Source organism: Homo sapiens, chromosome 2, assembly GCF_000001405.40.
Source record: "Homo sapiens chromosome 2, GRCh38.p14 Primary Assembly".
Classification (NCBI taxonomy): Eukaryota; Metazoa; Chordata; class Mammalia; order Primates; family Hominidae; genus Homo; species Homo sapiens.
In genome coordinates this window covers 120,034,874-120,060,893 of record NC_000002.12, presented here as the reverse complement: position 1 = coordinate 120,060,893, position 26,020 = coordinate 120,034,874, and the positions used below count along the sequence as shown (strand labels likewise).

General features: G+C 38.5%; 1 protein-coding gene across 13 annotated transcripts in view; it reads right to left on the bottom strand.

Annotated features, from left to right (window-relative positions):
• Window positions 1-26,020, bottom strand: part of EPB41L5 (erythrocyte membrane protein band 4.1 like 5) — a 166,043-nt gene that overhangs the window by 118,226 nt on the left and 21,797 nt on the right. For all 13 annotated transcript variants that reach the window (NR_138472.2, NR_135920.3, XM_047445208.1 and 10 more), the window contains one exon: window positions 18,784-18,888. Coding sequence is in view for 11 of the 13 variants with exons in the window: in XM_047445208.1 (XP_047301164.1) it covers window positions 18,784-18,888 (105 nt within the window). In the remaining 2 variants the exon portion in view is untranslated. The remainder of the gene's footprint in view (window positions 1-18,783; window positions 18,889-26,020) is intronic.

Genomic DNA, 26,020 nt, shown 5'->3' with positions numbered 1-26,020 from the left:
GTTTTATTATGAAATAATTAGAGATTCACACAAAGTTGGAATGATAGTAAGAAGAGGCCCGGTCCTGTGTACACTTCTGCCAATGCTTACATTTTAACATAACTACAGTACAATATTAGAATCAGTAAACCAACATTGGTACAATGTGCATGTATAGTTCTGTGTCATTTTATCACATTTAGATTCCTATCCTAATACCACAATCAAGATAAAGAAATATTCCATTATCACGAAGAACTCTCTCACATTACTCATTTATAGTCACCACTCCCCCAACGCCAATATCCCTAACCCTTAGCAACCATTAATTTGATCTCAATCTCTATAATTGTGTCATTTCAAGAATGTTACATACATAGAATCATATAATATATAACCTTTTGATACTGGCTTTATTTCCTATTCAGCATAATGCCCTCTGAAATCCATCCAAGTTGGTGTGTATCAATAGTTTTTTCTTTTTATTGCTGAGTAGTATTACATGGTATGATTGTGCCACTGTTTAATCATTCACTTACTGTAGGACACTGTGGTTGTTTCAAGTTTTTTGCTACTACAAATAAAGATGCTATGAACAATCATGCTCAGGTTTTTGTGTGGAAGTAAGTCTTCATCTCTCTGGGATAAATGGTCAGGCATACAACTGATTAGTCATATGGTTTAAGTATATGTTTAGTTTTAAAAGAAACTGCCAGATTATCTTCCAGAGTAGCGATATCACTTTACAATCCCAACAACAATGTATAAGAGATCCCATTTCTGCACATTCTCACCAAAATTTGGAGTTGTCACCATGTTGTACTTTAGCTGTTTTGATAGATGTGTAGTGAAAACATCTCACTGAGGTCTTAATTGGCACTTCCCTGATGGCTAGTCTAACATCTTTTCATGAATTTGTCATCTGTATATCCTCTCAGGTGAAATGTCTCTTCATGTCTTTTGTTCATTTTTGAATTAGACTGTTTGCTTTCTAATTGTTGAGCTGAGGAGCTTGTTTTGTTTTGTTTTTGGTTGAGACACGGTTTCGCTCTGTCGCCCAGGTTTGAGGTGCAGTGGCTGTCACACTCACAGCAGCCTCCACCTCCCAGGCTTAAGCAATCCTCCTGCCCAGCCTCCCAAGTAGCCACAGCAGCAGACTTTTTTTGTTTTTTTTTGTAGAGACAAGGTCTCACTATGTTGTCCAGGCTAGTCTTGAACTCCTGAGCTCAAGTGATCCTCTTGCCTTGGCCTCCCAAAGTGATGAGATTAGAGGCGTGAGCCACTGCGCCCAGCTAGGCATTGTGTATATATGCTAGACACGAGTTCCTGGTCAGATGTGTGATATACGAATACTTTCTCCCAGTCTGTAGCTTAGCTTCTCGTTCTATTAACAGAGTCTTTCCCAAAGCAAAAGTTTTTAATTTTTTATGAAGTCCATTTTATCTTTTTTTTAAAAATCATCCTTTTGGTATCATGTTTACTAGTAACTCTTCTCTAAACTCTAGGTCCCACAGATTTTCTCCTGTTTATTTGTCTCTAAGTTTCATAGTTTTATATTTTATATTCAGGCTCATTATCCATTTTGAGTTAATTTTTGTATAGGTATAAGGTTTAGGTCAAGGTTTTTCTGTCTTACAGATATCCAGCTGCTCCAGCACTTTTTTTAGTTTGTTTGTTTTTCCTTCTTCCACAGGTTCTAATCCAGCACCATTATTAAGACTATTCTTCCACTGAATTACTTTGGCACCTTTGACAAAAATCAGAGGTCATATTTGTGTATGGCTATTTCTTTCCATTGATCTACATGTCTGTCGCTTTGCCAATACCACAAAGTCTTGATTATGAAAGCTATATAGTAAGTCTTGAAATTGGGTAGCATGATTCCTCCCATTTTATTCCCCTTTTTTAAAATTACTTTAGCCATTCTAGTAGTCCTCTGTCTTTCCATATAAATTTTAGAATAATCTTACCTATATCTACAAAAGATCTTACTGGAATTTTGAGAAAAACTGCATTAAACCTGTATATCAATTTGGGGAGAACTGGTATCTTTGTTGAGTCTTCCATTCAATGTAGAATGTCTTTCCATTTACTTTTATCTTCTTTGATTTCTCCATCAGCCACGCTATTTTTAAAAATATGTTTAACAACTTTTTAAAAATAGACAATTTAGCCTTGAAATCTGGATTTCAGCTTTTCTTGAAATACCTGAAGATCCAGCAATGCTGGTACAACAAACCTATTTAACAGCAAATGCCTGGAGCTAGGTGGTAGTTGCCATATACTGTCTTTTGCAGGTAAATGTAAAATGCTTCCCACTTCACCACATCCCCTCCACCAATCCTTTTTGATCCTCTACAGTCTGCTGGATATCAGCTATGATTTATCATCACGCTATCTATATTTCTCTGTCTCTATCCCTATCAAAAATGAGAAAAGGGCTGGGCACAGTGGCCCACACCTGTAATCCCAACACCTTAGAGGGCCAAGGCAAGAGGATCACTTGAGGCCAGGAGTTCCAGAACAGCCTGGGCAGTCTCTACAAAATTATTATTTTTTAAATTAGCCAGGCATGGTGGTGCACACCTGTAGTCCTACCTACTTGGGAGGCTGAGGTGGGTGGATCACTTGAGCCCAGGGGATCAAGGCTACAGTGAGCTCTGATCATGCCACTGCACTCCAGCCTGGGCAGACACAGACAGCAAAACCCTGCTTCTTTTATTTAAAAATAAAATAAAATGAAGGAAAATACAAAACATAACAAGTATGTAGCAAGATTTTTTTTTAAATGAGAGAAACCATATTTCTTCTTGGAGTAAATAACCATGCAAAATCTTTAATGTGCACACCAACCTGCTTCCCTTCTTTTGCTCTCCTGCCTGGTCCATGTAAACATGTGATTTTAAGACTGAAAATTGTTCCTTCAAAATGTATCAAATGTGTTCTCCAGGAAATCGGTACAGTTAACTCTCCAATTATTTTGCAAAGTCTTATTGTACCAACCTAAAACCACTCAATATCAAAATTAAAAATATATTACTTCTACTGTGGAAAGTCCTGTATACAAGAAACTACCCAAAATTGTCACTTTTTTAACCACTAATATTGGCAGTGCTCCTGTCATGGGTGGCTTTGCTACATGTACTATTTTTATGACAGCAAAAAAAAAGTGTTTCCCTAAGCCTTCATCAAGAAAGAATATATTACCATAAAAATATCTGTTTAGTTATACAATGAGATTTAATAACAAAGTTGTACCAACAGCAAAAAAAAAAAAAGAGATTATAAATGTTTGACGGCGTAACTGTCTTAAAGATTTAAACAGAAAAACTCACAGATTTATACCATTATCCATCTTCCCTTAAGCTATAGGTTATTCATTTGCTAAAGAAGGGTTACTAAATTGGAGAATTCATAGTTGGGCTTGGGGGATATCTGAATTACTATGTACAGACAAAACGTTATGTGTATGTGCATTTTTCTAGGGTAAGTCCACAGATTTCATAACTCTAAGTTTAAGATCATCACTGGACTATATAAAAGGATATTAAATTACATTTAGATTTTAAAATAGACGATGGGGTAGTATTCTGCAGTCCACTAAAACAACGATGACCATATATTCTGGTTTACCAGAATAATACTGGCAGCTTATGCCTACTATCCCAATCCCTCATTCATTAAGTACCCCTTTTACTCTCTAAAGTGGCCTTTAGAGAAAACACAGCCAGACGTGGTAGCTCACACTTGTAATCCCAGCACTTTGCGAGGCTGAAGAGGATCACTTGCATCCAGGAGATCAAGACCAGTCTGGGCAACATGGTGAGCCCCCATCTCTACAAAAAAATAAAGAATTAGCCAGGCGTGGTGGGTGCCTATAGCCCCCACTACTCAGGAGGCTGACATGGGAGGATCCCTTGAGCCTGGGAGGTTGAGGCCGCAGTGAGCTGTGATGGCGTCACTACACTCCAGCCTGGGTGACAAAGTGAGACCCTGTCTCAAAATGGAAAGAAAAGAAAATCTGAATACACCTGTAACAAGTAAAGGAATGAGTCAATAATCAAAAACTTCTCACAAACAAAAGCCCAGAACCAGATGGTTTCAATGACAAATTCTACCAAATGTTGAAAGAATTAACACTAATCCTTCACAAGATTTTCCAAAAAAATACAAGAGGGGGGATGGTTTTCCCACCTCGTCTACAAGACCAGCATTACACCCAAACCAGAAAAAAAAAAAAAGTCACAAGAAAACTACAGACTAATATCCTTTATGAATATAGTACCAAAATAATCATCAAATACTGGCAAACCAATGGTCAGGTGTGGTGGCTCACACCTGTAATCCCAACACTTTGGGAGGCTGAGGCAAAAGGATCGCTTGCATACAGGAGTTCAAGACCAGCCTGGACAACATGGCGAAATCCCATCTCTACTAAAAATACAAAAACTAGCCGGGCACAGTGGTGCATGCCTGTCATCCCAGCTCCTTGGGAGGCTGAGGCAGGAGAATCGCTTGAACCAGGAGGCAGATGTTGCAGTGAGCTGAGATCACGCCACTGCACTCCAACCTGGGCAACAAAGCGAGACTCCATCTCAAAAAAAAAAAAGACTATAAACCATGACTAAGTGGGATTTATCCCAAAAATTCAAGGTTGGTTCAACATTAAAAAAAAAAAATCAACATAACATACCATATAAACAGATTTTTTAAAAACTTCACATCATCCTCTCAATAAATGCAGAAAAAGCAATTGACAAAACCCAACGACCTTTCATTATGAAAGCATCAACGAACTAGGAATAGAAAAGACCTTCCCTCAATCTGATTAAGGGCATCTATAAAATTCCCACACCATACTTGATGGTAGAAGACTGAACATTTTCCCCACTAAGATCAGGAATATGTCAAGGGTGTCCACTCCCACTGCTTCTATTCAACATTTTATTGAAGGTTCTAGCCAGGGCACTGAGGAAAGAAAAGGAAAGAAAAAAACACAAGACATCCAGATTCTAAAGGAAGACATAAAACCATCTTTTTGCAGATGACATGATCTTATACATAAAAACACATTAAAACTAATAAACACGTTCAGCAAGACTACAGGATACAAAATAAATACACAAAAATCAGTTGCAGTTCTATATGCTAACAATGAACAATCCAAAAATGAAATTATAAAAACAATTCCATTTAAAATAGTACCAAAGGAATAAAATGCTTAGGAATAAATTTAACCAAGGAAGTGAGACTTCTATAAACTTAAACTATAAAACATTGTTTTAAAAAATTAAAAACCTAGGGAGGCTGAGGCAGGAGAATGGCGTGAACCCGGGAGGCAGAGGTTCCAGTGAGCCGAGATCACACCACTGCACTCCAGCCTGGTTGACAGAGCAAGACTCTGTCTCAAAAAAAAAAAAAAAAAAAAAAAAATTAAAAACCTAATACAGAGAAAGACATTCCATGTTCATGGATCAGAAGACTACATTGTTAAAATGGCAATATTCCCCAAATTGATATACAGATTCAGTGCAATCCCTACCAAAATTCCAACTGCCTTTTTTGCATAAATGGATAAGCTGACCCTAAGATTTATACGGAAATGCAAGGGACTCAGAATAACCAAAAGAATACTGAAAAAAGAAGACAGCTGGAGAACTCACACTTCCCAATTTTAAGACTTACTACAAAGTTACCATAATCAAGACACTGTGGTACTGGCATAAGGATCAACATAAAGATCAATGGAACAGGCCGGGCATGGTGGCTCACGCCTATAATTCCAGCACTTTGGGAGGCCGAGGCAGGCGGATTGCCTGAGGTCGAGTTTGGGACCAGCCTGCCAACATGAACAAACCCCATCTCTGCTAAAGGTGCAAAATTAGCTGGGCATGGTGGTGCATGCCTGTAGTCCCAGCTGCTTGGGAGGCTGAGGCAGGAGAATCACTTGGACCCGGGAGGCAGAGGTCGTGGTGGGCCAAGTTCGCATGATTGCACTCCAGCCTGGGCAACAAAAGTGAAACTCCGTCTCAAAAAAAAAAAAAAAAAAGTGTATATATGTATGTATCAATGGAACAGAAGAGGGAATCCAGAAATAAACCCACATATCTATAGTCTATAGTAAATAGATTTCCAACAAGCATGCAACAAGACCCTTCAAGTCATTTTAACAAGTGGTGTTAGGATCACTGGATATTCACATGCTAAAGAATGAAGGTGGACCCCAACTTCATAGCATATACAAAAATTAACTCTAAATGAATCAGATGCCTGTTGTCCCAGGTACTTCGGAGGCTGAGGCAGGAGAACTGCTCGAACCGGGAGGCGGAGTTGCAGTGAGCCGAAATTGCACCACTGCACTCCAGCCTGGTGACTGGAGTGAGAAGAGTGAGACTCTTTCTCAAAAAAAAAAAAAACTTTTAGAAGAAAACGTGTAAATCTTTATGACCTCAGAATAGGCAATCGTTTGATAGATATAACACAAACAGCATAAGCAACCAAAGTAGGTAAACTGGATTTCATCACAATGTAAAACTTTTGTCAAAGGACACTATCAAGAAAGTGAAAAGTAGGGGAAAAAAGTTTGCAGATGTATCTGACTAGGGCTGAGTACCCAGAAAATACAAAGAACTCTTACAACTCAACAGCAGAAAAGCAAATAACACACTTTAAAAAATCAGGCAAAGGATCTGAATAGACATTTCTCCAAAGAAGATACACAAACGGCAAACAAGCACATGAAAAGATGCTCAACATCATTAGTCATTAGGGAAATGCAAATCGAAACCACAATGAGACACCATTTCATACCAACTAGGATGGCTAAACAAAAAGAAGGGGAAATCACAAGTTGGCAAGGATGTGGAGAAACAGGAATCCTCATACACTGCTGGTAGGGAGTGTGGAATGGTGCCATCACTGGAAAAGTTTGGCACAAGCAATCCTCCTACCTGAGCCTCCCAAGTAGCTGGAACTACAGGCACACACCACCGCACCTGGCTAATTTTTGTATATTGTAGAGACAAGTGTTTTGCCAAGTTGCCCAGGCTGGTCTCGAACTCCTGGGCTCAAGCAATCCACCCATCTCAGCCTCCCCAAGTGTTTGGATTACAGACCACCATGCCCAGCCTTCAGAGCAGCATTATTCATAACAGCCAAATAGTAGAAATACTCCAAATGTCCATCAATGGATGAGTAAATAAAATGTGATATATTCATACAATAGAATATTATTCAGCAATAAAAAGGAATCAACCACTAAGATATGCTACAACACGGATGAACCATGAAAACATTATGCTAAGTACATTTCCAGATTCCAAAGGCCACCTATTACATGATTCCATTCAAATGAAATTTTCAAAATAGGCAATCCATAGACAGCGTTTGCCAGATGCTGTGGGGAGGGGTAAATGGGAAATGACTGGTAACGTGTAAGAGGGTTTCTTTGGGGGTGATGAAAATGTTCTGGAATTAGTGATGATGGCTGAACAATTCTAAATATACTGAAAACTCTGAATTGTACAATCTAAAATGGTGAACTTTATGGTATGTAAATTGTCTTTTTTTTAAGTGGCCTACTTTACAGAAAAAATGACATCGTCATGCTAACTAAAACCAACTCCTTCTTTTACTTAAGCATGCCTTCTCTCTTCTCTTTAAGCTTCCTACTCCAAACCAAATCTCTGAGGTAATAACTCTTCAATACAACTGTCAAAGGAGTGCTTTACGTTCCACTGTGTATTTGTAAGGTGACAAGTTTCACAATCCTTTCCTTTTTCCAAATAATTCAGTCCATCCAAGATCAAAGAAACAGCAAAAAATAAAAATAAAAAATAATAACTCAGTCCAGAAATAATTAGGTTGTCTGAGCAAGACCAGCATGTACACAGGGAGAGGCTAGAGACTGGTTCCACACATGCTGAGTGATCAATATAGTAAATCTACTGGTGATAATCATAGCCTGGTTTCTATAGAAGAGAACTACAAATATGGAAAGAGAAAAAAAACTACAAGAAGCCCTGTAGTGTTAGACTGGAATTTCAATTATTTATGGGTGTTGAAGTTATGGTATTCATGGTATTCGAGAGAGAGATATGGAGAAATAAACATAAACACATATTCCCTAAATCTGGTCACAAGACTCATTGGAGAACTGGCTAATTCCAGGGCTGGAGTAGGGCACTGCAAGATGAACATGGCATACCTTCATAAGCCAGAAAGTAAGGCAGAGCTCAAAGAATGAAGGGGCCATGTCAAATGAACATAGAAGCCATCTTGAAGCAGCTCCCATTGACCATACGTGGGAAAATTTGAGCAACAAATTAAATGATAGTAACAGATATAACCCATTGAATTAAAACAGGAATCTATTAGTTCATAAATAAATAGAAAGTTTGATGAGGAAAAGTCTCAACATAACTGCCCACAAAATAGTTAATGACAAAGGGAAAAAAGAATAACTTCATAGTGGTGAGGCCTAGCAGACACCATCTTAATCAAGGGATCAAATTTAGTATCACTAGTAATGGGACCAAATGAAAGTACATGACACCCAATAGGACAGAACGAAACACAGAATCACTTCGGTTATTTTTCTGCCAAAGGTGCCAAGATTAATCTACTTTATAAGGGAACATCAGACAAACCCAAATTGAGGGACGATATACAAAATAACTGTCCTGTATCTTCAAAAGCTTCAAAGTCATGAAAGTCAAGGCAAGACTAAGGAAACCGCAGTACTCCAGGTTAAAGGCAACTAAAGAAACATGAAAATTAAATGCAAAGCATGGCCAGGTGCAGTGGCTCACACCTGTAGTCCCAGCACTTTGGGAGGCCAGGGTGGGCAGATCACGAGGTCAGGAGTTCAAGACCAGCCTGGCCAATGTGGTGAAACCCTGTCTGTACTAAAAATACAAACATTAGCCAGGCACGGTGGTGTGCACCTGCAGTCCCAGCTACTCAGGAGGCTGAAGCAGAAGAATCACTTGAACCTGTGAGGTGGAGCTTACAGTGAGCCAAGACCACGTCACTGCACTCCAGCCTGGGTGACAGAGCAAGACTCTGTCTCAAAAAAAAAACAAAACAATGCAGGAGGTTCCAAGATGGCCGAATAAGAACAGCTCCAGTCTACATCACCCAGTGTAGAGAGAAGACAGGTAATTTCTGCATTTCCAACTGAGGTACTGGGTTCATCTCACTGGGGCTTGTTGGACAGTGGGTGCAGCCCACTGAGCAAGAGCCAAAGCAGGGCGAGGCATCGCCTCACCCGGGAAGCGCAAGGAGTCAGGGAATTCCCTTTCCTAGCCAAGGGAAGCTGTGACAGGCGGCACCTGGAAAATCAGGTAACTCCCAACCTAATACAGGCGGCACCTGGAAAAATCAGATAACTCTCAACCTAATACTGAGCTTTTCCAACGGTCTTAGCAAACGGCACACCAGGAAATTATATCCTGTGCCTGGCTCGGAGGGTCCCACGCTCACAGATCCTCACTCATTGCTAGCACAGTAGTCTGAGATCAAACTGCAAGGTGGCAGCGAGGCTGGGGGAGGGGCACCCACCATTGCTGAGGCTTGAGTAGGTAAACAAAGCTGCTAGGAAGCTTGAACTGGGTGGAGCCCACCGCAGCTCAAGGAGGCCTGCCTGCCTCTGTAGACTCCACCTCTGGGGGCAGGGCATAGCCGAATAAACGGCAGCAGAAACTTCTGCAGACTTAAATGTCCCTGTCTGACAGCTTTGAAGAGAGTGGTGATTCTCCCAGCACACTGTTTGAGATCTGAGAATGGACAGACTGCCTCAAGTGGGTCCCTGACCCCCGAGTAGCCTAACTGGGAGCCACCTCCCAGTAGGGGCAGACTGACACCTCACAAGGCTGGGTACCCCTCTAAGACGAAGCTTCCAGAGGAACGATCAGGCAGCAACATTTGCTGTTCAGCAATATTCACTGTTCTGCAGCCTCCGCTGGTGATACCCAGGCAAACAGGGTATGTAGTAGACCTCCAGCAAACTCCAACAGACCTGCAGCTGAGGGACCTGACTGTTAGAAGGAAAACTAACAAACAGAAAGGACATCCACACCAAAACCCCATCTGTATGTCACCATCATCAAAGACCAAAGGTAGATAAAACCACAAAGATAGGGAGAAACCAGAGCAGAAAAGCCAAAAATTCTAAAAATCAGAGCGCCTCTCCCCCTCCAAAGGAACGCAGCTCCTCGCCACAAACGGAACAAAGCTGGATGGAGAATGACTTTGACAAGTTGCGAGAAGTAGGCTTCAGACGATCAAACTTCTCCGAGCTAAAGGAGGATGTTCGAACCCATCACAAAGAAGCTAAAAACCTTGAAAAAAGATTAGACGAATGGCTAACTAGAATAACTAGTGTAGACAAGTCCTTAAATGACCTGATGGAGCTGAAAACCATGGCACGAGAATGACGTGATGCATGCACAAGCTTCAGTAGCTGATTTGATCAACTGGAAGAAAGGGTATCAGTGATTGAAGATCAAATGAATGAAATGAAGTGAGAAGTTTAGAGAAAAAAGATAAAAAGAAATGAATAAAGCCTCCAAGAAATATGGGACTACATGAAAAGACCAAATCTATGTCTGATTGGTGTACCTGAAAGTGAAGGGGAGAATGGAACCAAGCTGGAAAACACTCTGCAGGATATCATCCAGGAGAACTTCCCCAACCTAGCGAGGCAGGCCAACATTCAAATTCAGGAAATAGAGAGAACGCCACAAAGATACTCCTCGAGAAGAGCAACTCCAAGACATATAATTGTCAGATTCACCAAAGTTGAAATGAAGGAAAAAATGTTAAGGGCAGCCAGAGAGAAAGGTCAGGTTACCCACAAAGGGAAGCCCATCAGACTAACAGTGGATCTCTTGGCAGAAACTCTACAAGCCAGAAGACAGTGGGGGCCAATATTCAACATTCTTAAAGAAAAGAATTTTCAACCCAGAATTTCATATCCAGCCAAACTAAGCTTCATAAGTGAAGGAGAAATAAAATCCTTTACAGACAAGCAAATGGTGAGAGATTTTGTCACCACGAGGCATGCCTTACAAGAGCTCCTGAAGGAAGCACTAAACACGGAAAGGAACAACTGGTACCAGCCACTGCAAAACCATGCCAAATTGTAAAGACCATCGATGCTAGGAAGAAACTGCATCAACTAACGAGCAAAATAACCAGCTAACATCACAATGACAGGATCAAATTCACACATGGCAATATTAACCTTAAACGTAAATGGGCTAAATGCTCCAATTAAAAGACACAGACTGGCAAATTGGATAGAGTCAAGACCCCCCAGTGTACTGTATTCAGGAGACCCATCTCACCTGCAGAGACACGTCCATAGGCTCAAAATAAAGGGATGGAGGAAGATCTACCAAGCAAATGGAAAACAAAAAAAAAGCAGGGGTTGCAATCCTACTCTCTGATAAAACAGACTTGAAACTAACAAAGATCAAAAGAGACAAAGAAGGCCATTACATAATGGTAAAGGGATCAATTCAACAAGAAGAGCTAACTATCCTAAATATACATGTACCCAATACAGGAGAACACAGATACATAAAGCAAGTCCTTAGAGACCTACAAAGAGACTTAGACTCCCACACAATAATAATGGGAGACTTTAACACCCCACTGTCAACATCAGACAGATCAACAAGACAGAAAGTTAACAAGGATATCCAGGAATTGACCTCAGCTCTGCACCATGCAGACCTAATAGATATCTGCAGAACTCTCCACCCCAAATCAGCAGAATATACATTCTTCTCAGCACCACATCACACTTACTCCAAAACTGACCACATAGTTGGAAGTAAAGCACTCCTCGGCAAATGTAAAGGAATAGAAATTATAACAAACTGTCTCTCAGACCACAGTGCAATCAAACTAGAACTCAGGATTAAGAAACTCAAAACCGCTCAACTACATAGAAACTGAACAACCTGCTCCTGAATGAATACTGGGTACCTAACGAAATGAAGGCACAAATAAAGATGTTCTTTGAAATCAATGAGAACAAAGACACAACATACCAGAATCTCTGGGACCCATTTAAAGCAGTGTCCCAGAGCTATAAAGTAGAGGAAAATTTATAGCACTAAATGCCCACAAGAGAAAGCAGGAAATATCTAAAACTGACACCCTAACATCACAATTAAAAGAACTAGAGAAGCAAGAGCAAACACATTAAAAAGCTAGCAGAAGGCAAGAAATAACTAAGATCAGAGCAGAACTGAAGGAGATAAAGACACAAAAAACCCTTCAAAAAAATCAATCAATGCAGGAGCTGTTTTTTTTTAAAAGATCAACAAAATTGACAGACCGCTAGCAAGACTAATAGACAGAAGAATCAAATAGACGCAATAAAAAATGATAAAGGGGATATCACCACTGATCCCACAGAAATACAAACTACCATCAGAGAATACTATAAACACCTCTACGCAAATAAACAAAAAATCTAGAAAACATGGATAAATTCCTGGACACATACACCCTCCCAAGACTAAACCAGGAAGAAGCTGAATCCCTGAATAGATCAATAACAGGCTCTGAAATTGAGGCAATAACTAATGGACTACCAACCAAAAAAAAGCCCAGGACCAGACGGATTCACAGCCGAATTCTACCAGAGGTACAAAGAGGAGCTGGTACCATTCTCTCTGAAACTATTCCAATTGACAGAGAAAGAGGGAATCCTCCCTAACTCATGTTATGAGGCCAGCATCATCCTGATACCAAAGCCTGGCAGAGACACAACAAAAAAAGAATTTTAGACCAATATCCCTGATGAACATCAATGCAAAACTCCTCAATAAAATACTGGCAAACCGAATCCAGGAGCACATCAAAAAGCTTATCCACCATGATCAAGTGGGCTTCATCCCTGGATCGCAAGGCTGGTTCAACATATGCCAATCAATAAACGTAATCCATCATATAAACAGAAGCAAAGACAAAAAACACATGATTATCTCAATAGATGCAGAAAAGGCCTTTGATAAAATTCAACAGCCCTTCGTGCTAAAAACTCCCAATAAACTAGGTATTGATGAAAGTATCTCAAAATAATAAGAGCTGTTTATGACAAACCCACAGCCAGTATCACACTGAATGGGCAAAAACTGGAAGCATTCCCTTTGAAAACTGGCACAAGACAGGGATGCCCTCTCTCACCACTCCTATTCAACATAGTGTTGGAAGTTCTGGCCAGGGCAATCAGGCAGGAGAAAGAAATAAAGGCTATTCAATTAGGAAAAGAGGAAGTCAAATTGTCCCTGTTTGCAGATGACATGATTGTATATTTAGAAAACCCCATCATCTCAGCCCAAAATCTCCTTAAGCTGATAAGGAACTTCAGCAAAGTCTCAGGATACAAAATCAATGTGCAAAAATCACAAGCATTCCTATACACCAATCACAGACAAACAGAGAGCCAAATCATGAGTGAACTCCCGTTCACAATTGCTTCAAAGAGAATAAAATACCTAGGAATCCAACTTACAAGGGATGTGAAGGACCTCTTCAAGGAGAACTACAAACCACTGCTCAACAAAATAAAAGAGGACACAAACAAATGGAGGAACATTCCATGCTCATGGATAGGAAGAATCAATATCGTGAAAATAGCCATACTGCCCAAGGCAATTTATAGATTCAATGCCGTCCCCATCAAGCTAACAATGACTTTCTTCACAGAATTGGAAAAAACTACTTTAAAGTTCATACGGAACCAAAAAAGAGCCCATATAGCCAAGACAATCCTAAGCAAAAAGAACAAAGCTGAAGGCATCATGCTACCTGACTTCATACCATACTACAAGGCTACAGTAACCAAAACAGCATGGTACTGGTACCAAAACAGAGACATAGACCAATGGAACAGAACAGAGCCCTCAGAAATAATACCACACATCTACAACCATCTGATCTTTGACAAACCTGAGAAAAACAAGAAATAGGGAAAGGATTCCCTATTTAATAAATGGTGCTGGGAAAACTGGCTAGCCATATGTAGAAAGCTAAAATTGGATCCCTTCCTTACACCTTATACAAAAATTAATTCAAGATGGATTAAAGACTTAAATGTTAGACCTAAAAACCATAAAAACCCTAGAAGAAAACCTAGGCAATACCATTCAGGATATAGGCATGGGCAAGGACTTCATGTCTAAAACACCAAAAGCAATGGCAACAAAAGCCAAAATTGGCAAATGAGATCTAATTAAACTAAAGAGCTTCTGCACAGCAAAAGAAACTACCATCAGAGTGAACAGGCAACCTACAGAATGGGAGAACATTTTTGCAATCCACCCATCTGACAAAGGGCTAATATCCAGAATCTACAAAGAACTCAAACAAATTTACAAGAAAAAAAAAAAAACAACCCCATCAAAAAGTGGGCGAAAGGTATGAACAGACACTTCTCAAAAGAACACATTTATGCAGCCAACAGACACATGAAAAAATGCTCATCATCACTGGCCATCAGAGAAATGCAAATCAAAACCACAATGAGATACCATCTCACACCAGTTAGAATGACCGTCATTAAAAAGTCAGGAAACAACAGGTGCTGGAGAGGAAGTGGAGACATAGGAACAATTTTACACTGTTGGTGGGACTGTAAACTAGTTCAACCATTGTGGAAGACAGTGTGGGGATTCCTCAAGGATCTAGAACTAGAAATACCATTTGACCCAGCCATCCCATTACTGGGTATATACTCAAAGGATTATACATCATGCTGCTATAAAGACACATGCACACGTATGTTTACTGCGGCACTATTCACAATGGCAAAGACTTGGAACCAACCCAAACCCCATCAATGATAGACTGATTAAGAAAATGTGGCACATATACACCAAGGAATACTATGCAGCCATAAAAAAGGATGAGTTCATGTCCTTTGTAGGAACATGGATGAAGCAGGAAACCATCATTCTCAGCAAACTATCACAAGGACAGAAAACCAAACAACATATGTTCTCACTCATAGGTGGGAACTGAACAATGAGAACACTTGGGAAGGCGAGCATCACACACCAGGGCCTGTCATTGAGGGGGGGACGGGGGAGGGATAGCATTAGGAGATATACCTAATGTAAATGACAAGTTTATGGATGCAGCATACCAATGTCACATGTATACATACGTAACAAACCTGCATGTTGTGCACATGTATCCTAGAACTTAAAGTATAATAATAAAAATTTTAAAAAAAGAAAAAAATGCAAAGCATGATTCTGTGGGATCTTTTGGGTATAAAAAACATACCAGGAACAGTTAACATTATCTGAATACAGTCTAAGGAGACAAGATGGTGGTACTATCATTGTGTTAATTTCCTGGTTTTGATGGCTGTATTGAGTTGTGAAGTGTGCTTGCTTACAGGACACATACACTAAAGAATTCAGGTGTGATGGGACATCTTCACTATAACTCTCTCTCACATGGTCCCAGAAACATGGTTATTTATACCATCCTTGCAACTTTCTATAAACATGAGATTGTTTCAACTATGAAATTAAATATGTGTACATGAACGTAAAATAACCCAGTCTAATAAAAAGTAAACAATTTTAAAAACAGGGCTCAGATTATATGTCTATATAAGAAGAAAAGTGAACTTTGGCTTCATCGATTTACTAATTTTGGTTATCTCCATGATGACTCCATAATTCTATAGTCATAGACGTTTTGGACTGATCTATAGTGACCAATAAACTAAAATGTGGCACATTAACCTTACATATATGGACATGCCATATGCTGAGGGTGAAATTATAGCATGTAATTCCTTGGTCGCATTTTACGCTTCCCTTCACCCCACTTTGGTTTCATTTCATTCTGAGGTTGAATATGGCCACACAACAAGCTGATTGTTTATGTCATGAGACTCATGGAATCAAGTGAGTAAGAACTTGAAAAGTTTAGCTTATCTGGAGTTCATTTTTAATATCTTTAATCTACTAACTCTTCTTCCAGCTCAACTCATAGTTTAGAGTGTTTTAGTGAAGCAAAAATAAAATGAAGTAAACAGAAGCCTATAAGTTGAATTTTAATGCCTAGATTTCTGGTTACTGGAAGGAATAAACTAGAACTAAAGAGTAGGGATTAAATATTCTAATCCTGGCTTTACCAAAAATTTATTATTATGACAAGAAAGGCACTATATGTGTATCAAATGAGAGAAAAAAATCAATATGGAATTCAGTAATTGCTAATATTAGCAAAGGGCTAATAATACAACTTAGTAATGACTGCATGTTTCTTTCCACAGTTACTTAAATACTAAGTAACTCAAACCTAACTTTGGCATACTTTTACTTTCTTTTCCCTCACACTGCCTCAAAAAACAGGAAGTCACAGATTGTTTATCCTTAATATCATCTGTTCATTCATCTGATTGTAAGGCTTTACTATTATTCTAGAAGTGAAAGCTGAATGATATTAAAATTAATAGGCAACCAAGATTTTATCAAACTAAACAGAAGTCTAGAATTAAATTCAACAAATGTTTTGTGTGCCTACTACCTGCTGGACAGAGGTACGTAAGACTAATTCCCTGCCATTAGTGAATTTAGTCTAATAAAAGAGAATTAAGAACATTAGAAAGAAAAATAAAAGAAATATCTCCTACACTAATGTCACCAAGAGATTAGAAACTCTGAAACTATGAAAAATAGTTTCACAATTTTTTCATGTATATGCATGGCCATATATCCTTTTTTTTTTTTTTTTAAGAGACAGGGTCTTGCTCTGTTACCCAGACTAGAGTGCAGTGGCATGATCACAGCTCACTGCAACCTTGAACTCCTGGGCTCATGCGATCCTCCCACCTCCCAAGTAGCCAGGACTATAGGCATGCACCACCATGCCTAGCTAATTTTTTTATTTTTGTAGAGACAGGGTCTTGCAATATTGCCTAGGCTGGTCTCAAACTCATGGCCTCAAGTTATCCTCCCTCCTCAGCCTCTCAAAGTGCTGGGATTATAGGCATGAGCCACTGCTCCTGGCCTAGATTTTTTTAAAAAATAGAAAAATTCAATTATACTGCCTTATAATCCTTTATGACTACTTCTACCACTCCATATCAATTAGCATATTAATACTTAAAAATCACCATTTTGTTTTAGAAATAGGGTCTCACACTTTGTCACCCAGGTTAGGAGTGTAGTGGTGCAATCACAGCTCACTGCAGCCTCCAACTCTAAGTTCCTGGGCTCAAGGGATCCTCTCGCCTCAGTCTCCCAGCTATCTGGAACTAGAGGCATGCACCGCCACGCCCAGCTAATTTTTTTTTTTTTTAAATAAAAATCATCTTTTTGTTTTTTTTGAGACAGGGTCTCGCTCTGTCACCCAAGCTGGAGTGTAGTGGCGCAATCTTGGCTCACTGCAACCTCTGCCTCCCGGGTTCAAGCGATTCTCCCACCTTAGCCTCCTGAGTAGCTGGGACTACAGGGGCACGCCACCATGCCCAGGCCCAGCTAATTTTTGTATTTTTAGTAGACAGAGGGTTTTGCCATGTTGGACAGGCTGGTATCAAACTCCTGACCTCAAGTAATCCTCCCGGTTCAGTCTCCCAAAGTGCTGGGATTACAGGTGTGAGCCACCATGCATGGCCCAAAACCGCTATTTTTAATGAGCTGCATAGTATTAATTTCAAGGATGCGCCAAAATTTGCCTAACCAATACCCTGCTGCCATATGCTCATGGTTACTTAATTTGGAGGCATGATGGGAAGGGTTGTCATGAAAAAATGACAGCTAAAATTATTCACAGCTGTAAACTTAGCCCAGATGCTTTATAAAGTCAGCTGGGAGTTCCCCTCTAAACACACACACACACACACACACACACACACACACACACACACACACACACACATTTCCAGAAAAAAAGGCTTAATGCCATGATATCCTTATCATCTGTGGTCTCTTCCTCTGCCTCCTACTGTCCAGGCCTTAATATTACTTTTATCCTAAAGTATTTGTAATAACTTTCCCTGACTTCAATCTCTCCCCATTCCAAATCCTACATATCTCTACAAAAAACTTCCTGAAGGAAAATAAAACCTCCCTGCTTGAAGACTACCTAATCCCAATTATTTGAGAGTAAATATTGCCAATTTATTATTTAATACTTTGGGCATTCAGTTTGAATGATATAACCACTAAACCACCTCCCAATGTTTTCATCTGCCACTTTCTTTCAAACATCCTCCAGTAAAATCCTAATATAGTAATCAGTTATTTGAATAGCCTCCAACTTTCTACTCCATTATGTATGCTGTTCTCTTGTCAGAAATGCATGTCGAAGTACCACTATTTATAGATACAGAATCACAGATCTGAAAGGGAACTTAGAGATATCCTAGTCTACTCAACTTCATTTGCAAATTAAAAACTACTATTGTTTACCCAAGAGCCCATGAAACTCCCATTCTAGCATTCTTTCCAGTACACAGTGTTTCTCAAATTCTTGTGTGCCCAACAATCCAGACAACAGTTATTAAAAACAAAGATTCTGGAGCCCCATCCTGAAAACTTTTGTTCTTGTAATTCAGGTTAGGAAATTAGGACCAGAACTCACATTTTTTAAAACAAGTACTTCAGGTGATGCTAAAGCAAGGAGGTGGGGGGAGGGAGCGGTGTCAAAGCTTTATATCACAATAACACATCAAGAATAGGAAGCCTTATAGCAATTAGTATATCATCTGAAATTTCCTGTTTCTTCTCCTTATGCTAAAACTTCCAAAAAACAGTTACTCACTGCTACTTGTGCTGAATCCATAAATCTCAGACCAAAATAGTCGCTTTCAATCAGGTCCAGGTGGTACATAATCTGATCAAACAACTCTTGTCCTTTGGCTTTTTTCTGAAATGGCAAGATAATAAGTAAATCAATAAGTGGTTTATAAGATCAACAAGCCTGAACAAAAGAAGGTTTTAGTTATACAAGATCTCTTGAAGAAAGGAGGACTTGCAATACCAAAAGTATTAGCATGTGGCAGATAATGCATAAGACATTACAGTTTTCTAATAAATCACTTAAGGCCAAAAACAAATTTGCGATTTATGTGTTTTCCTGGAGAGTGTTACTTCCAATCAACCAACAAAAATTACCTATTTTGAGATACAAATATTTGTGTGTGTGTATGGATAAATTCTTGTGTTGTAATCAATTTTTAGAGTCCCTACTTTAAAAGGGCCATAATGTCATTGGACAAAGAAAATACAAAAAACTTAAGAGTACTTTAGTACAAAATATGTGAAACTACACTTGCAAACAGATTTTAGAGAAGAGACAGAAACTAGAATAATCAATGAAGGCTTGATGCAGAAGAATCAAACTGGAAGAGAACGTAAGGTAAGAAATAATAAAACTGGGAGGTGCGGGGAATATGAGAGCATAAGAAAAGTACTGTGATGATGCAGAAGACACCAAATAGTAGGGTAATAAATAGGAAAGAAACTTTGTATGGAAAAAGCAGTTCTCAAAATGTGGTCTCATGATCACCGAGGGTTTCCAAGACCCTTTCAAAAGATTCATGAGGTCCTAGGTTTCTTATATACCTGAAACAAAACAACACATTGCAACACAGTGAACGTGGAAGCAGATAAGAGAATCCAAGTACCTTCTATTAAACCAGACATTAAACAGATTTGCAAAAGTGCTTAAAACAATGCCACTTTTCTAAGCTCTTTGTTGTTTTAGAAAATAGTTATTTTTATAATATGTTTTATATTACGTTAACATAAAAGGGGTATGTTGTTGCTATATTAATAGACAATTATTGATTAATCAGTTAATAAATACTTAAAATTTTTTCAGTTTTAATTTCTAATACTGTAACTATTGGTAGGTATAATCCACATAAGCAAAAGCATTGTTGGGATCCTCAATTTTCATAACTGCTCATCCATGCCTCTCCCATCTGTAGAATTCTAAATTGTGATTTATAGTATTTTCCTATTAAAAAATGAACATATAGTTGGTTTATCATATCAATCTCTGCCTTTTAACTGACAAGTTTATTATCTCAACTTGTCCTTTGCTTTTTTAGATAAGTAAATCTGTCATCTATATTTCCTTTCATCAAGAACTTGACCATGCCTTCATGTCCTCTAATCTCCCCTCCACCCAATTCCCATCAAGTTTTATAGACATACTTCTATTTATTCTTTTTTATTCTTAGCTAACTTTTTAAAGACAACAACTTCTACTTGGGTATTTCAAAAATGTACATGCCTTACATGTGTACATTACATGTCCTGCAGCATCTGCTAGATTTGCAAATACTCATTTGAGTTCTTTCTCCAAAAATGTTTCCCATGTGGCTTTTGTATGGCTTATCTTCTAAGGCTTTGGCCTTCTATATTTGAGAATATTTTAATCATGCCCTCACTCGAATGACAGTTGGATGGGTAGAAATGTCAAGGTTCACAGTTTCTTTCAATACTTTCTCCATACTCAAAAAAAATTTATTCCATTATCTTCTTGCAGTCAACACTGCTACTGGTAAGTGTGATGTCAATCTCAATTTTCTTTCTTCGTAATGTTACTTGTTCACTTTTAGACTCTTTAATTTCACTGTACTGTGTACAAGTGTGAGTTTTTCTTAATCATATTGTATTCTATATGGACCTCTTCAACCTGAGATCTTTCATATTTCTTTAATTCTAGACGTCAACCTCTATTGTTTTCTCAAATATTTCTCCTTTGTCATTTTAAGTTTCCTACGTCAGTGCTGCCATCTTTTTTTTAGCACATATTACTTATCCATTTAAATACGTATATATATATATATAAAAAGCACAGACAAAAGTTCAGAAAGCTTTAGTAATATGACAAAATTACATTTAAAACAATGACAACGCTAGAATTTGAATTTTGCTCTACCTTCCAAGTTCAAATTCACTGAGGAATACATACCTGATCTAGATTTCACCTGGAATGTCACCTGAGATCAGTAAGTCAGATACCCCACTTCTTAAACAACTTCTTCTAGCTTATTCATAAAATTACTTTCTTCTTTTTTTTTTTTTTTTTTTCCTGAGACAGAGTTTCACTCTTGTTGCCCAGACTGGAGTGCAATGGCACAATCTCAGCTCACTGAAACCTCCGCTTCCTGGGTTCAAGCAATTCTCCTGCCTCAGCCTCCCGAGTAGCTGGGATTACAGGCATGCGCCACCACACCCACCTAATTTTGTATTTTTAGTAGAGATGGGATTTCTTCATGTTGGTCAGGCTGGTCTCGAACTCCCGACCTCAGGTGATCCGCCCAACTTGGCCTCCCAAAGTGCTGGGATTACAGGTGTGAGCCACCACGCCTGGCCACAAAATTACTTTCAATGCCTAAGTTCTCCAACCACATGGGGAATTTCGAGTACACTGACCCAACTTCACAGACATCAGCCTCACTTCTCCTTTTTTTAAAGTATAACACAATTTGCCATTTTAACTATTTTAAGTATAAAATTCAGTGCCATTGAAAATATTCACCATGTTGTACAACTGTCACCACTATCCATTTCCAGAACCTGTCACTATTCCAATCAGAAACACTATACCCATTAAAAAAATCATCCCCCACTTGCCCTCACCATTACCCCTAGTAACTTCTCTCCCATTAATACTTTCTGTCTCTAAGAATTTGCCCATCCCATGTATCTCACATAAGTAGAATCATAACAGTATTTGTCCTCTTGTTTCTGGCTTATTTCACTCACCCTCTCTCCTACTTTCTGTCTCTATGAATCTGCCTATTCCATGTATCTCACATAAGTAGAATCATAACAATATTTGTCCTCTTGTTTCTGGCTTATTTCACTCACAGTATTTTTAAGGTTCATCCGTATTGCAAAATATATCAAAATTTCCTTCCTTTTTAAAGCTGAAAAATATTCCATTGCATATAAATACCATTCTGTTTACTTCTTCAAGTGTTGATGTACATTTGGGATTTTTCCATCTTTTCAGTTTGGAATAATGCTGCCACGAACACTGGTGTGTAAGTATCTGTTTGAGTCCCTGCTTTCAACTCTTCCTGGTATACACCTAGGAGTGAAAGTGCTGGGTCATATGCTAATTCTGTGTTTAACTATTTATATATTTTTTATTTTTTCTGAGATACAGTCTCACTCTGTCGCCCAGGCAAGAGTGCAAAGGCATCATCTAGGCTCACTGCAATCTCCACCCCCGGGTTTCAAGCGATTCTCATGCCTCAGCCTTCCAAGTAGCTGGGACTAAGGTGCACAACCATGCCAGGCTAATTTTTGTATTTTTAGTAGAGATAGGGTTTTGCCATGTTGGCCAGGCTGGTCTTGAACTCTTGGCCTCAAGCATCCCAAAGTGCTGGGATTACAGGAGTGAGCCACTGCACCCAGCCGTATGTTTAACTTTTTGAGAAACTGTCAAACTGTTTTCTACAGCAGCAACACTATTTTACATTCCCTCTGAAAGTGTATAACAATTCCAGTTCTTCCACATCCTTGCCAACATTTGTTACTTTCTCTTTTACTTTTTAAAACCAGCCACTTGATAGGTATGAATCAGTCTCTCTCATCGTGGCTCTGATTCAAATTTCCATTCTGATTAGTGATGCTGAAAATATTTTAATGTGCTTATTAGCCATTTATATATGTTCTTTGGAGAAATGTGTAAGTTCTTTGCCTATTTTCGAATTGGCTTTTGGTTGTTGTTGCTGAGTTGTAGGAGTTCTTTATATATTCTGGATATTAATCTCTTATCATATATCTGGTTCGCAAACATTTTCTCACATTCTGTGGGTTGTCTTTTTACTCTCTTGGCAGTGTCCTTTAATACACAAAAGCTTTGATGAAGTCCAACTTATTTGTTGTGCTGCCTGTGCTTTTGTTATCATATCCTACAAAATCACTGCCATATCTAATGTCATGAAGATTTTTTCCCTGTTTTCTTCTATGAATTTTATAGTTTTAGGTCTCTATGTCTTTGAGCCATCTTTACATTAATTTTTGTATATGGTATAAGGAAAAGGTCTGACTTCTTTCTTTTCCATGTGGGTATCCAGTTTTCTCATCACCATTTGTTGAAAAGACTGTCTTTTCTCCACTGAGTGGTTTTGGCACCCTTGTCAAAAATCATTTTACCATATTTACAAGGGTTTGTTTCTAGTCTCTCTATTCTATTCCATTGGTCAATGTCTGTCTGTATTGCCAGTAACACACTGCTTTTTTTTTTCTTTTGTAGAGATGGGGTCTGGCTATGTTGCTCAGCCTGGTCTTGAACTCCTGGTCTCAAGCAATCCTCCTGCCTTAGCCACCCAAAGCACTGGAATTACAGGTGTGAGCCATCACACGCAGCCCCACAGTTTTTGATTCTGTAGTTTCGTAGTAACTTTTGAAATAAATCAGGAACTGTGAGTCCTCTAACTTTCTTCTTCTTTTCAAGATTGTTTTGGCTCCCTTCAGATTCCATATGGATTTTAGAATGGGTTTTTCTATTTCTGCAAATAACATCGTTTGGATTTTGATAGGAATTGCATTTAATCTATGGATCACTTTGGGTAGTACTGTCTTCTTAACAAGATTAAGTCTCCAAATTCTTGAACGTGGGATATCTTCCTTCTTATTTACATGTTCTTTCATTCCTCTCAGCAGTGTTTTATACTGCAAGTCTTTTGCCTCCTTGGTTAAATTTATTCCTAAGCATTTTATTCTCTTAGATGCTATTATAAATGAAATGGTTTTCTTAATTTTGTTTTCAGATCATTGCTAACTTATTAGCACCATAAGGTTTTTTTTTCCTGCAAAATCTTTGGTTTTCTACATATAAGATCATGTCATCTTAAATAGAGATAATTTTATTTCTTCCCTTCCCATTTGGATGCATTTCTTTTTTCTGCTGAACTGCTCTGGACAGAAGTTCCAGTACTATGTTGAACAAAAGTGGCAACAGCAGATACCTTTATCTTGTTCCTGATCTTAGGGGAAAAAGGAACTCCTACTTTTGAATTTCATTTATTTCTTAATTTTTATTTTATGCTTCATATTATATCCTTTCTTTCCTCTTATGGAAAGAATTCTAAATATGATCTTCCAACTCACTAATTTCTCCTTCACCTTAACTGATCCTAATTTCATCCCATCAAATGTGTTCTATAGATTATACTTCTTATACCTAGTATTTTCCTTTGGTCCTATTAAGTAAGTTTTTGTTCTTGTTTCATGTTGTTAATATCTTTTAGAAAATTTATTAGACTTTTCTTTTTATTCCATCTGCCTTTGCTTCTACTATATACACAAAGATATTAACAACATAAAACAAGAAAACACACACATACACACAGTTTGTTATCTTTTACTTGCCTTTTGAGGTGCTTGCGCTCATTTGTCTCCTTATTTTGGACATATTTATTTGGGAACATGAGTTACTTTCTCTAGATTATGTGTAACAAGAGAAAGGCCTGACTCTAGTCTGTATCAGCAACATTTAGCACTGAGAAACCCCTGGGGGAATAGAAGAATTCTAGGGAGGAGAGCCCTAACAAGAGAAAATCACAGTTAATCACTTTCCATTATACAAACAACTCCCTCAGGTTAATAATTCATTCTTTGTCCACAGATGAAAGTAGCATTGGGAAGGAGGCATTTTCTATAATAATAATTCACTGCTCTCTAAGAGTTTGGTGGAGGAAGGGTAGGAAATTTAGGTAAGGGAATTTTAAGGATAAGGATTTTTAGAGGTGAGAAACTTTTTAGGCAGTGCTATTATGATTTATTCTTGAAGACACTTCCACCCACTGTCTGAGTTATTGCTATCACACCCCTTAAAAGAGATACTAATTATCAAGACAAATTTGGAACAGGGGGTAAGACCTCCATCCAAACTGCCTTTTACCTCAATTATCCTTCCACAGCCACAGGAGCAGCCCCCTAAACCAGACTGCAGCCACCATTACCACACACACACTCCAGTATCAACACTCCTTACCTGGGACTAATTTTTCTGTCTTAAGTTTTATGATCATTCATGGGTTAATCTTAGGACACTAGAAGCCCTTATTACTTCATTATCTTGTCCCAAACAGGGCAAGAATTCTCATTAAAAATTTATGATTGGGAGTGATCTTAACTTCCTTCAGGGATGAATTTCTTTTAAAATTAAAGATCTGTTTCAAATACTATTCCTAATTTGATTTATTCAACAATTTTTTTTAAGAGATGGGGGTCTCACCATGTTGCCCAGGCCAGAATTCAGTGGCTATTCACAGGTGTGAAGACTGCACTACAGCCTCAAACTCGTGGCCTTAAGCAATCCTCCCACCTCAGCCTCCTGAGTAGCTGGAACTACAGGCACTCTATCACTGAAGTTGGTTTATTGAACAAACATTAATAGAGCGCTTACTATGTGCCAGGCACTGTTCTAAGCAACTAAACAGGAAAACAAAACAGGTAAGCCCCTGCCTTCAAGAAGCTCATATTCAATTAAAGAAAAAAACAGCCAGGCATGGTGGCTCATGCCTACAATCCCAGCACTTTGGGAAGCCAAGGCAGGAGGATCACTTAAGACCAGGCGTTCCGAGACTGGCCTGGATAACATAGCAAGACCCTATCTCTACAAAAAATTTTTAAAAAAAATTTTTTTAGAAGAATCTTATATCCTAGCAAGGGAAGAAAATATTATGCTAGCGAGTGATAAAGGTTATACAGAACAAGGTAACTATGGGAAATGGTGTTTACATGGGGCCCATTTAATAAGGGAGATTTGAAAAAAGACTGAGTGACATAACTATGTAATTACCTAGAGAAAACAAATCCCAGGCAGAAATTACAACAAATGCAAAATTCCCAACTGTGTATGTGCGTTTAAATAATAAAACAAACCAACTGAATATTTCAACATATTTGTTCTAGCAACACAATGGAAAAGGAGGAGAAAGTCATTATTGGAAATGAAAAAGAAAACTACTGGTTTTAAACAATGCTTGTAACAACAACAAAGTACTGCTAACAGTTTGACTGAC